The sequence below is a fragment of the Homo sapiens genome, chromosome 8 (assembly GCF_000001405.40).
Source record: "Homo sapiens chromosome 8, GRCh38.p14 Primary Assembly".
Lineage (NCBI taxonomy): Eukaryota > Metazoa > Chordata > Mammalia > Primates > Hominidae > Homo > Homo sapiens.
In genome coordinates, this window is record NC_000008.11 from 103,142,753 (window position 1) to 103,156,722 (window position 13,970).

General features: G+C 44.2%; 1 protein-coding gene and 1 non-coding gene across 4 annotated transcripts in view; both read left to right on the forward strand.

The window, feature by feature from the left end:
- Positions 1 to 13,970, forward strand: part of BAALC (BAALC binder of MAP3K1 and KLF4) — an 89,581-nt gene that overhangs the window by 2,028 nt on the left and 73,583 nt on the right. The window lies entirely within an intron of this gene.
- Positions 11,862 to 11,937, forward strand: MIR3151 (microRNA 3151). Its single transcript, NR_036106.1, has one exon. It is a non-coding gene; the product is annotated as a microRNA 3151 (primary transcript).

Sequence of the window (13,970 nt, forward strand, 5' to 3'; positions counted from 1 at the left end):
TATGTACATACATGTTCCTCACAACTTTCCTGACACTCCTTGATTTATTACTCTGCCATACTAATTCATATCCCATCCATCATGAGATCTGGTCACTGCAACAGGTGGGGCCTGGGACAGACACACTCATTCATGGTACCCTGCCAAACATGGGCCAGCCCTGCCAGAGAGGTGGTCCTGAAGGCCTGCATCCTCCAGAGGAGAAGCTCCACTTCAGCCCCAGGACAGCACCCTGAAATTGGCAAGACGCTTGTATGGGCAGGGTCATTTTAATTCCCTGGGAATTTCTGTTAGCCTCAGGGGAGAGGGATATTTCTGAAGACCAAGATTAAATCAAGGCCTTCTTTGGGGGTGTACTGGCATTCCCTAGGGCCTTTGGGAATGGCTTGACTTCTGTGGGTTTTTCAGACTGGGAGCTGGTCATCTTTAGTCAGAATGGGTCATCCGTGAAAGCTACAGATCTCCTGGGTTTCAGCCACCCTGGGAGACTGGCCAGGATTCTGTATTCCTTTCATCTTCTCTGCCCCCTCACTTCCACCTCACCCACCCCCTGCCAGTGCTTTACTCATGATTTTACTCCCAAGCTGCTGGGGGACACCTAACAGCCCCCAGTGGCTGCGTTGTGATAGGAGGCCAGAATGCCACTTTTTCCTGTTTACAGAAGTTGTTTTCTGATGGGAGAGGTGGGTAGGAGTAAATGAAAGAGCCAGTAGATTCAGGAGAGTCCAGACTGTGAAATCAACAAAAATGGCTTCACTACTAGAATTCTAGAGCTGGAGAAGGTCTCTGGAAGTCAGCCACGTGAGTCAAATGAGACTCTCAGGGGAATCATCCCCATCTGAACACTCCTTCAACCACTCACAGACTTTACCCTCAGCTCCCAAGAATCCCTTCTTTCTGGGACCTTAGTGATTCTCCTTTGGTGTCAAACTGAAGCCACCTTTTCTCCTGGCTACTTCAGGACTTTTGAGGGCTAGGGGAGAAGCTAATTCATCTTTGCATCTTCTGTGCTGAACACATCTGGGACTTGTAAAAGTTTTCAGAATGAATGGATGCTCTGTCTGAACCTGTCCTCCGTCCTGTCAGCTCTTCCTAGAGCCCCTTCTGCCTCTTCTTTGCAGTACTTGCTACTGAGGTTTTCCCACTTGAATCAATTTAGCCTGAATTCTTCCAACGGCCTTTCTGATCGCACAACTTCTCTTTAAAAAGTTCTCCCCAACTTTACCCTACTCCATTCAAACACCTGGCCCAACCCAACGATTCCATTTCTTCTGTAGCCTCCCTGAACCCACAACCTCAACTCCACAAACATGTCTGCCCAAGAAAAGTCCCATTTAATCATATCTGCTTTTAAATCTCACTTGTGTTTCTCTTAGCCCAATCCAGATTGAGGGTGTGTCACATGACAGGTGTTCAGCAAATATTTGTTGAATGAATTCTGAATTTCACTGCAGGGAGGGGGCATGTTTTTCTCCCAGTTCCACAAAGAAGAAGGTTTCTTGCATCTTCTTACTCAAAAAATGATCCTGAGCCTGTGGTTCCTGTTTTTGGAGATCATCTCCACTACTCAATGGAATTGAATTAATTTTTTAGATTTGACTGTTACGTAGGCTAGAATTTAAAAGCTAGCTGAAGCCAAGGTATGTGATATCCATTGCTTTCCTGTGTCACCAAAGTCTGTCCCTCTGTTACAGAAGGAAATTAAATTGGTCTGACATAATTTAATCCTCATAAAATCAGTCTGCTGGATTGATTTTTAATTCTGTTGCCTGGTGGGGGTCTCCAAGGAGAAAGGAAGTCTCTGAGGTTGCCATGACCCAACCTAGCTCAGTCATTCCATTCATTAATAACTTCCTAGCTTCATCTCAGTGTAATCACAAGCCCCAAAAATTGCATCCTTAAGCACACTTTTTTTCTAATTTCTCCAGAGAAAACATTTCAAAACTTTCTAAAGGACTTGTACTTTACATTTTTAAATTGCTAAATCATTGTCTTAGTATAATAGAGGTTTGCAGAATTACAGACAGCAAAATGATTTACCTAAATAAACTGAAAGATAGTCAAATAAAATGGACAGCATTTAATATCACCATTACCCATCATTTATTAATGACTTACTGGGGCCTGGTGCTTTATTGGGCACTTTGAATTTTCTCATTGAATCCTCACTTCAGGAACGAGGCAGGAACTATAGCCACCCTCCTTTTACAAGTGAGGAAATGAGGCTGGAAGTCTGCAAGTAACTTTTCCCAGTTCCAGCCTGGAATCTAGTTCTATCCATTTCCAAAGCCTCTACTCCTAAATACTGCCTTCCTGATTAATAGGGGATATGCTATGAAATTCTTGATTTTACAGTTCACTAAACTCAAAGTCAAGTCTGATCTCTTGATTCTACTCTGATCTCAGACAGCACAATTGTCTTCTGCATCATCTCTAAGGATGGAATATCTTTTCCCTAAGGAAGGAGGCTTTCCCATAACTTTATGAAGCAGTTCTCCTGTGAGACTCTTCCTGCTTCCTTGTAATTTCTACCCGGTGAACTCCAGACCCATGTGATCAAGTCTTGCACAGACAACTCTTTCAATATTTGAAGATGGCTGTCACATCTCTTACCATTGGTCTTCCAGGTCAAATACATGCAGTTCCTTCAATCACTTCTCACACCTCAGGTAGGCCTGACCACATTCTCTAAATACACTACTCGGTTTGTCAAAGTCCCTCTTGATACAAGGGACCTATGGCTAACTCCAAGCTACTGATGTCAGCTGAACGGCATAGGGCAATACAAGGTGTGCTATGATATGGTCATTGAACAAACCTCTCTTGGTGCATGTAAAATCAGGTTAGGATTTGTTTGTTTTCCTGCTGTTGTTGTTGCCATATTACCTTGAAGACTCACATTAAGCTTATGATTAGTTAAAATCCTTAGATCTTTCTTTATAATCAAATTTAAGTTTTATGACATCAAGGACATTGTATTTTCTCTGCTATGTACCCAGCACCTGGTACAGTGACTAGAACGTAGGTGGCGCTCAATAAACGTTTGTTGAATGAATGAATTTCTTTCCTTATGAATCCTGAATTGGTATAATTGACTTCAGTAACCCAAATAAGGAATTTTTGCATTTATTTCTGTTAAATTTCATCTTATTGGTTTCAGTTTAACGTTTAAATTTGCTGACCTTGATTCATTTTGATAGAGCTATGAAAACAATATTCTAGGTCTTTGTTTCTCTGTGTTGACAGAATAAGATAAAAGACATCTTTTTTTGCTCTTTTGTTCACTGAATAGACATTTGGCACAAAGATGACCTGAAGAAGTTACTATTATAGGGAAGAAAAACATAAAAGTGGACACCGTTCAGGTCAGCATTGTCCATGGTCCATACTAGAAGGGCATGTAGAAAAGCATTAGAGGCATTCAGGAACTAAGCAGTTTTTTTCTGCCTGGGGAGGGGTCAGTGTGTATACAGACCCCTGCAGGAGCCCAGCAGAGGAAGGGGGACTGTCCGAGCCAACCCTCCCACCCTGGAGAGGAACAGGAGTGCAGCCCAGCTGGCCTGACTCCATCCCCGAGAGTGAGAGCACCTGTGGAGAGGACAGCCAGGGCTTCCTGGTGGATAAACCCCCTCCACCCACACCCCAGCTGCCTTGACTTACCTGTTACCGCTTGTGGTTCTATCTTTGAATAACTAGTGATTAATGTCTGCTTCCGTCAAGGATGACTGTTAGGTTTGGTAAGGCAAGGGTTCTGTTGGGTTAGATAAGGTTTCATTTCACACACAGTCCTATCCCTGTACCTAACGCTGTTCTGGCTACATCAGGACCCTGAGTAACTTCTCATAAATGAATAAATCTAAAACTTCTGTTTGTCAATTTCTTCTTGTAGACCCCAGAGATGATGTTCTCTTTCCTCATCAGTTCTCTCTGCTCAACTTTTTGTTGTCTGTCTGATGGGCTGCACAGTAAGAAAACATCCCCACCTTCCTTACACCCCTTTTGCCAAACACAAGCCTTTTTGTTATAAGCTGTTTCTTAAAATCACTGCAAGAGACAAGTGGTAACAAACCTAGGCAGTTTGTAAAGGTTTAGGCAGCCTCATGTTCCCATGGCCCTTGTCTCCTGGGCAGAGTATCATGTTGTGCCATTGGCTCTCCAGACACTTTGAGAGTCTAGTGATGGTACCTGTCACACTGCATTGCCAGGGCTTGGTCATTCCTCTGTCTCTCTAGTTAGTCTGTGAGCTCTTCCAGGTTGGGGATCACATGATTGATATTTGCATGCCTGGCATCTTCCACACATTTGTTGAATGACTGTGAAAATGAATAAATGAATGAATGATCTAGCTGTGCAAATGAAGCTTAGTCTGTCATTCTTATAACCTCTTTCCTGAGTCTCATCTTAGATGCTTTTGTCTTAGATATCAGTCCATTGAACCTTGTCTTCATTGGACATTAGATAAAACAATTCCAACCCTAGCCAAAGATGAATTTAAGGTGACTCCACTGCAGGGTGTAGTAGTATCCTAAGTGCATTCCAGAATTTCCTCCAGAATATGTAGAAAGAATGAATAAGACCTACTATTTGATAGCACAATGGGATGACGATAGTCAATAATAACTCAACTGTATATTTTTAAATAATTTAAAGAGTGTAATTGGATTGTATGTAACTCAAAGGATAAATGCAGATTTTTTTTTCTGCAAAAAACATTGCAGATTTTTTTTTCTTCGGTTAATAGGCCCTGGTGGGAAGAACCTAGTCTTCTCTGAGTCAGAAAGGGGTCTTTTCCTGGCTCATTCTGCACTCAGCAATCCCTCAGGTTTGGACTCCTGGAGGTCCAACCTTCACCCTGGGATCTGTGCACCTGTGATCCATAGCATCTTCCTGCTGATAAGGCCATTCTGCCCTTGTGAAGTTGGGTGTCTAAACCTGTTCTCGGACAATGGTGCTGTGCCATTCATCCCAGGAGCCCTCCCATGTCAGGCCTACAGCCTCGAGACACTCTCAGCAGACCTTTGGCCTCCGCTGCAAAATCCTATCCCTATAAAGACTCCTTCAGAGCCTCTCTGGCCAGTCTATATGCCACATTTACTCTCCTCTGCAGAGCAGACTCGAGGGGTTTACCCTGAGCCCAATCATGATATAGCTCCTGCTAGCTTGGCTACCAGGAACGCTTGCTTCCTCACATGCCTGACTCCCACTCTGTCTCATGCCCAACCACAGCCATCTCTCTTGAGAATGTTGTTCTTTTAGAATGTTGTTATGTGCTGATTTGTGTCTCCCCCAATTCACATGTTGAAGCCCTAACCCCCTCTCTACCCCGGTACCTCAGAATGTGACCTTATTTGGAAAGAGAATCTTTAAAGAGGTAATCAAGTTGAAATGAGTTCATTAGGGTGGGCCCTAATCCAGAATGACTGGTGTCCTTATGAAAAGGGGAAATTTGGAGATAGAGAGACACACAGGGAGAACTCCATGTGGAGATGAAGGCAGAGACCGGTGATGCTGCCACCAGCCAAGGAGCATCAAGGAAAGTCCACTGAAAACCACTGGAAGCTCAGAGAGAGGCAGGGGACAGATTCTCCCTCAGGGCCTCCAGAAGGAACCAACCCTGCTGATATCTTTTTTCATTTTTGATTTCTGTGGGTACATAGTAGGTGTATGTATGCATGGAGCACATGAGATGTTTTGATACAGGCATGCAATGTGAAATAAGCACATCATGGAGAATGGGGTATCCATCACCTCAAGCATTTATCTTTTGAGTTGCAAACAATCTAGTTATACTTTGTTATTTCAAAATGTATGATTAAGTTATTATTGACTATAGTCACCTTATTGTGCTGTCAAATAGTAGGTCTCATTCATTCTTTCTGCCTTTTTTTGTTTGTTTGTTTTTTGTAACCGGCCTGCTGATATCTTGGTCCTGGACTTCTGGCCTCCAGAACTGGGAAACAGCAGGTTTCCGTTGTTTAAGCCATGCGGTTTGTGGCACTTTGTTATGGCAGCCCTAGCAAACTAATGCAAGTGTGTTTATGAGCACTAACACTGTGAACATTTGGAAATAATAAGAGAGACGGATTTCCACTGTTACTTCCTCACACTTTTTTCTGAGATTGGATCTATTTCCTGGCTGTTTAGATTCAAATAGCATTTATTTGTATCTACTATTTGCATTTACTATATGTGAGAATTTTTCTTTTTGACACTAGTTTATATCACCCTCCGAAATAACCTCATAAACCATTGTTCTCATCACTTGCCAGATGAGGAGCTGGGATTCAGTGAGATGAAGAGACTGAGCCAGGCCACCAGCTTGGAAGTGGGAGAGCTAGGATCAGAATTCAGGTCTCTTGTTTCTGAATTCAGGGCAGGGTCCATTGTGCTGTGCTGCTAAGCACGAATGTAGTACCCTCCCCCCACCCCATCTGCCTTGGGCTTTTCTGAAAATATTAACCATTTAGCGTGGGAGCCTCCTGCTAGCATTTACAAGGCTGAGTCCTGCAGCTCTGCGGTGCTTACACTGCCCTCTCCCTGTGCTGAGTGCCCGTGCTGCTCCAATCTCCATCTCCATAGAAAGGGTTGCAGGAGGTGCCCCAGGTGTCACCTGCATCCCAGTCACCTGACAGGCCCATTAAACAGGAACAGTCTTTAGGCAGAATCATATATTTTTTTCTGGTTTCAAATGCAGTGCATGCTCCTAATTAAACATTTAAAAAGCATAGAAAAAGCACACAGAGGAAAATAATGCCTCTCTCAGCATTTAGGTTTCATCTTTCAGGTCCCATGAAGACGATGCTGTATTTGCATCTTATACGTGAAGGTGATGTTTAAAGTTCCGGATGGGGGGATGGGAAAAATTCCTCAAACTGCTTGGAAGCTCAAAAACCAAGAAAAATTATATTTGTTCATTTTTGTATTTAGGAAACTATATGGAGGTAGTGGGAGCCCAAGTCTAGTTTGAATGGAGGAAGAGAAAGGGGGAAAGGTCATGGAGAAGTAAAGGGATTTTTCTTTTTTTCTTTCAATACTGGGCAAATATACTTGAATTCAGGCAAATTACATACCAGGTAATTACTGTAGGTGATTCCTCCATGTTTCCCTCTTACCTCCCCCTCAAGCCCCCACAACAGGCTCAGGCTGAGTATGCTGTTCTATATTTTTCCTAGCTGTTTTCTGGGATTTAGTCTCTTTATGGGTTGTATTAGTCTGTTTTCATGCTGCCGACGAAGACACACCTGAGACTGGGTAATTTATAAGGAAGAAGAGGTTTAATGGACTCACAGTTCCATGTGGCTGGGGAGGCCTCACAATTATGATGGAAGGTGAAAGGCACATCTCACATGGCAGCAGACAAGAGAAGAGAGCTTGTGCAGGGAAACTCCCCTTTATAAAACCATCGGATCTCATGAGACTTATTCACTATTATGAGAACAGCATGGGAAAGACTCACCCCCATGATTCAATTACCTCCCACCTGGCCCCTCCCACAACACGTGGGAATTGTGGGAGATACAATTCAAGATAAGATTTGGGTGGGGACACAGCCAAACCATATCATGGATATAGAAACATGGCTGTGTGTGTGTGTGTGTGTCTGTGTGTCTGTGTGTATGGCTGGGTGTGTCTGTGTGTGTGTGTGTGCAGGGACCAGCTTTCTGAGTCTCAAATGCCCTTGAGGTCAGACAGGTTGGCTGCCCAGAGCTATGGCTGGTACCACTCCATAGGCTTCCAGCTCTAGGTCTTTGTGTCAGATGGGATAGGTACCTAATGTCTGCCTACATCTCACCATGTGGCTTCTGTGTAATGAAGCAAAACCAAAAGTCTGGGTAGGTTTTTCTTAATCTAACACAATCTGCTTTACAAATGATGCCAGCTTCTCCTAGATTCTGGGATTAGGTTGCCTACCAGTCTTCACTTGTGGTGATGTTGTGAGTCTTGGTCTTTTTCTATGTCTTCACAGGCATTTTAGTGGGCAGTTAGGCAAAGCTGATGCCCTTTGGCCTGGATATCCAACCCAGGGATTCTTGACCTTCTTCTCTAAGCCATTATCCTGAATTCTGATACAGCCACACCCACAGGATCACCCGGCCAGATCCGGTCTCTGTTTACAATTTCATACACTTCCTCCCCAACTAGTGAGCCAGCTTTTAACAAGGATCATGACCTCGGGTCCCTGGGCCTCAACCTGCTCTCTTCATCCATCACCCTCCCTGCTACTTTGTTTGGAGATAATATAATAGTTGCAATGTTAAAGAATTTGATTTTTTTTTTTTTTTTGAGATGGAGTCTCGCTCTGTTGCCCAGGCTGGAGTGCAGTGGCTCAATCTTAGCTCACTGCAACCTCTGCCTCCTGGGTTCAAGCGATTCTCCTCCCTCAGCCTCCCGAGTAGCTGGGACTTCAGGCACCTGCCACCACGCCCGGCTAATTTTTTGTATTTTTAGTAGAGATGAGGTTTCACAGTGTTAGCCAGGGTGGTCTTAATCTCCTGACTTCGTGATCTGCCTGCTTTGGCCTCCCAAAGTGCTGCAATTACAGGTGTGAGCCACCTCACCCGGCCTAGGAATTTGATTTTAACAACAGGCATTTATCAGCTGTGTGACCCTCAGCAAGTTTCTTAGCCTCTCTGGGTTTCAGTTTCCACATTGTAGGATGGGACTTATCGAAGAATTAATGCATTCACAAGTACAAAGGGCTTAGTGTTTCAGTGTTGTGCATTCTAGCAGCCAGGATCCCCTCACATCCTCACGCTTGCACCAGGCTTGTCATGCCAATCTCAAACCTTGGGTCACCCTTCCCCTCTGTTCCTTACACTCTTGTTTTGGAGCTGCCCAGCATTTCTGGAAAAAGTCATGCATGTTATGATTGCCCCTATAAGCAATTCATGCTCTAGAACAATGATCTCACCACCTCTCAGCAATTCTATTCATTCCTCATTAATATGCGGTGACAGACCCCATATAATAGCCCCTGATGCTATCCTATACTTTCCCTCTGAATATAAAAAAAAAAATCACAGACTTGCCGTGAATTCTCCCATTTTTCCTTCCAGTGACCCAGCATACATCCTTCTTGCCATCTGAGCATTTCTAAACATCTTTAGCGATCCTTTCCTCCTAGTCTGTCCATTTGAATTCTAAGTGCACTGACAAGGTTGCCCCTTGTTGTAACCATATACGGGAACCTCACAGGCAGCTCCATTTGGATGAAGGTCTACTCTGCATCTCCATGGGCCCTCCCCAAGCCCAAGCCACATCCGTCTTCCACTTGAACATCTGCCATAGCCTGCTTCCATTCATACCCTTGACAATTCATTCTTCATGTCATAGGCAGAACGATCTTTTAAAAACATATGTCAGGTCCTGTCACTCTCTTGTTTAATGCCTTCTGATAGCTTCCTGTTCTACTATGTGTAGAATAAAATCCCAGTCCCTTCCTTGGCCTCCAGGGGCCTGCATGACGAGGTCCCTGCTGATTTTCCAGCATGATTTCATTGTTTACTCTGCTCTGTTTTTTGCTCAGCGTGTTCCGGCCACGCTTGATTCCCCTCTGTTCTCTGAATACATGGAGCCCCTTCCTGTCACAGGCCTTCACACTTGCTGCAATGTGCTTCCTCCCCACACCCGCCCCCTCTGTGTGGTTAACTCCTCTTCACCCTTTGGCTCTCAGTTCAGATGTCACCTCCTCAGAGAGACCAGCCTTCCCCAGTGGCCATCTGGTCATTTCCTTCCTAACACCACTGCCTGTCATTGTCTTGTTCGTTTACTGTTTATTTCTTGACTCTCTCGCTTCAAGAGGTCAAGGATCTGATGGACTCACCCACTGTTACAGTCCAAGTGCTTAGAACAGTGCCCAGCACAGAGTAGGCACTCGGTGGATGTTTGTTGAATGAAGGGAACCCTCCACACCTTTTGTACCAGTTAGGGATTGCATCTGGCTGCCTGAACAGAAACCAACTCCAGGAATGGGATTTAGCCCATGGAAGGTCTGCACAGAGGTCTGGAGGTCGGCGGCCACACCCAGTCACGGACACTGTGGAGGAGCTGGGCTCCTTTGGCTTTATTGCTCTGCCATCCTTAGTGTGTGGATTTCATCCTCATGGCTGCGAGATGCTGCACCATCTTATTTCAAATGGGAAGAAGGAGACGGGCAGAAAGGGGCATTCTGCCTGATCTGTTCCTTATCTGTAAAATGACAGTTTTCCTCAAACCCAGTAAACTTTGCTTGGGTCTTATTGGTCAGAAGTGTATGATGTAGGTGTTCTGGGCTACAAGGGTGTCTAGGAACTCAAAACTTTTAGCTTTTTACCCTATATTGACCAGGCATTGGATGTGGGCTTCCCCAGCAAGGGGATGTGATGTTGTGTGAGGTCATTTCCTTCCACACAGGGAACTTTCAAGCTACCCTAAAAGTATCAGGGTCCTCTTGGCAAAGGAAAAATGGGGAGAACAGATACTGGGCAGGCTGCCAGCAGAGTGGTCACTTCTTTCATCCTATAGCTGTGGTCAGAGAGGAGAGAAGATTTCCAGGAACAAGAAGGGGGAAAGGAATTAGGTAAGTGAGGAGGGAGAGAAGTTCTGCCAGAAACCAAGGTGACATGATTGCTAGTGTTACAATTTTGCCGTAACAACAATAATAATATTGTTTTTAATATTTTCATGTTTCAAGTAAGTTCATAAGGTGAACATTCTCTGGAAAAACCACATATGCTAATATTGAAATAATTTTTAAAAATAATGCAATACCTTAAACTTTAATCTTTTAGAATGGTCTTTTAACTTCAGACTGTGCTGTGTACGTGAAATGCATGGTGGACATTCCCTTGTCTTCTGCCTTATTTTCCTGCAAGATTAATGCCAGCCAGAGACTGATGTGCCAGCTAATATTCCATGGCACCAATTTCCAGTTAGTGGGAACATTTGTGGGTGTCTGCTGTGCAGGGTCACACTGCTGCTCAGGCTGGGAGCTTCTGTTGGAGAAGCAGCTCGCAGCCAACTGGCAAATTTAAAGAGTTGACAGTGTTTTCTGTGGAAGTTCAAAAAACCCAACCTGCTGCTGTCTCTAGGGCTTGTGGACTTTAGGGCGTTAAGAAACTGGAAAGGCTTGCAGAAAATAGCAGGGCAGTTTGGGAAACTGGTCACCATGACAACAGGGCATGGCAGCGGTTACAATGGAAGCAGAGACCGCCTGTGCACCCTTCCTAAGAGGAATGATTCAGGCTTAAGCACCTCAATAAACAACTGGCATGTTTGAAACCGAGGCCTCATTAAACGATTACCTCCAAGAATCACTTTTCAAGGGCAGTCTTCATAGCAGTCAGGCTCACACTTTCTTGCTGGGGTGATAAGTGATGATGTACAAGCACAAACGAACACAGCTACGACCTCATGGTGTGGCTTCCATTAATTGGGTGCTCAGCATGTGCCGGGCTTTGCAGATTTATTAGCTAACTCTGTTATTTCCATTTTACAGAAGGGGGTAGTCAGAGCGGTGGGATGGCTTGTCTAAATGTACACGGGCTGTGAGCAGTGGGGTGGGGTTTGGAACTCAGGTCTGTCTCATTCTGAGCCCTGTGGTCTTTCCTGTACACCAGCCCCTTCATGGATTGCTAGCTTCTGTCCTCACCGCCTTTCACCTAGACATTTGCAACAACTTTTGGACTAGTCTTCACACCCCCAGTCACTCCCACTCCAATCCCCTTCACATTATTGCCAGGTAAATACTCCCAAGTACAGCTGGGATCATTATTGTGTTATTCTTCCACTCAAAGCCTTTCATGATTTCCCACTATCTACTGAATACAAATGTCTTAGTATGGAATTCAAGGCTTTCTCTCCAGCCTCTCCATACAACCTTTGGGGTGATGGGTGGGGCAATGGGATCAGGTGCCTCAAAGGGCATCCCACCTGATCCCACAGCCCACCTGTCACCCCAAAAGCCTGCTGCTCCTGCCCTTCTGCTTCAGTTATGTGTTCCCTGATAGCACACACCATTTAGGACACTTACTCCCTTTTGAGTTTTCTTATTTATGATTGTGACTTATCTCTGCTATTATACTGTATACTCTTAAAGACAGAGCCAAGAAACAGACTCTGAGGTAAACCCTTACTGGAGAGAGCTCTAGTAACACCACCTGTGATGTGGGCCTCTTACCTATCTCAAGCTATATATATATATATATATAATATATATGGAGAATAGTATAATAAACCTCCATGTACCCATCATCAGCTTCAACAATTATCAACATATTGCAAAGCTTGTTTCATCTCTGCCTCCATTCCACTTCGCCAATTAAACATTTTTGAAGCAAATTCCACAAGTCATGTAACTTCATCCATGAATACTTCAGTATGAATCTCTAATAAACTGGGACTCTTTAAAAAAGATATTAGATTGGACCATATCTATTAGATTGGACCAAAAAGATATTAGATTGGACCATTTTGTTATTTTTGTAGGTTGAAATAGTGTAATATTAGCAATTTCATATACTTCAAACTAATATATAACCATGATACCATCATCACACCTAAAAATTAATGAAAACTTCTTAATTCTCTAATGTAATAATAATTCAGTCAGCATCCCAGTTTCTCTAATAGGGTGAGGGGCACAGTCCAGGGCAGAGGGAGGAGTGGAATGGCTGTTGTAATAGGGGCTTCAGCTGATGCCCTGGGGAGCTCTGGAGCTGGGATGGCCATTCAGCAATTGAGAAGACTGGGCCTTTTTACCCTGTATCGGCCAGGCGCTGGATGCAGTCTTCCCCTAGCAAGTAGGTGTGACCTTGGGTAAGGTCATTTCCTTCCACAGGAGCAGTGCCTGGAGAGGCACTCAGCTGTGATCCTTTAGCGGCTAACTCTCCTAGCAGCTGGAGAATCTGGTGCTGCCGTCCCATAGGAAGACCTGGCAGTAATCACCTTACTCATCTTTCTGCTTCCCTAGTGGCTGCATATCAGATTCACCTGGGGAATCTCAAACAAACGTCCCACCCCAGGCACTTCTGATTTGGTAGTGGGAGTGCAGCTAGAAAACCTGCAGTGTCTCCATGTTCTCTAGGTCAGTGGAGAGTGAAATTTCGTGGGTCTGGGGTGGACCTGAGATTCTGCATGTTTGACAGGCTTCCAAGTGATGCTGATGCTGCTGGTCCAGAGGTCCTAGATCAGAGGTTAGCAAACTTTTTCTGTAAAGGGACAGAGGGTAAATATTTCAGGCTTTGTGGGCCACGTGATTTCTTTTGCAACTACTCAACTTCTCTGTTTTTAATGCCAAAGCAGCTATAGACAATATATAAATGAATGAGCGTGTCTGTGTTCCAATGCCCACTCCTGTCCTAGATGATTTTGAAGCACAGCCAGATTTAAGAGCCACTGTCTTTAATCCCCAAGGCAGTGTGGAAGAGAGAAAAAAAAGCATAGGATTTGCAGTTACTAGTCCTAGCCCTCAGAAACATCTCTAAATAGCTCAGCACATGCTGAACACTCAAATAATGTTTCTAGAATAACGAACAGACAATGAATTAATGGAATTAAGTTCATTTCTCACCGTGAAGGCAGTTTTTAAAGTATCTTGGATAACATTTGTTCATCAAAGTATTAGAGATTTTATTATGCAAATCATGCTCTTGAGTTGGGTGGGATTCAGGAAGAATATGGCATCACGCAGAGTAAGGTAGAGGGTGCTTGAAGATCAATTTCATCTTCATAAGGGATTCTCCTTGCCTTGGGCTCTGAGGAATGTTGGGATGCCTTAATCCCTTCAGCACAGGTCACTGTTGATTTAGAGAGTTGGGTGCAGCTACCATGGCCTGAGTTGTTTTCTCAGCTGAATCAGATTCAGACAGGGCTTCTTCTGAGACGGTGGAATGTTCTTCTAACAGGCGTGAGGAATAATTATCTCACTGTGTCTCTCTGAGTTTCACTTACCTTTCCTTAACTCTGTTATTGCCACAGGCTGTAATGCCAGA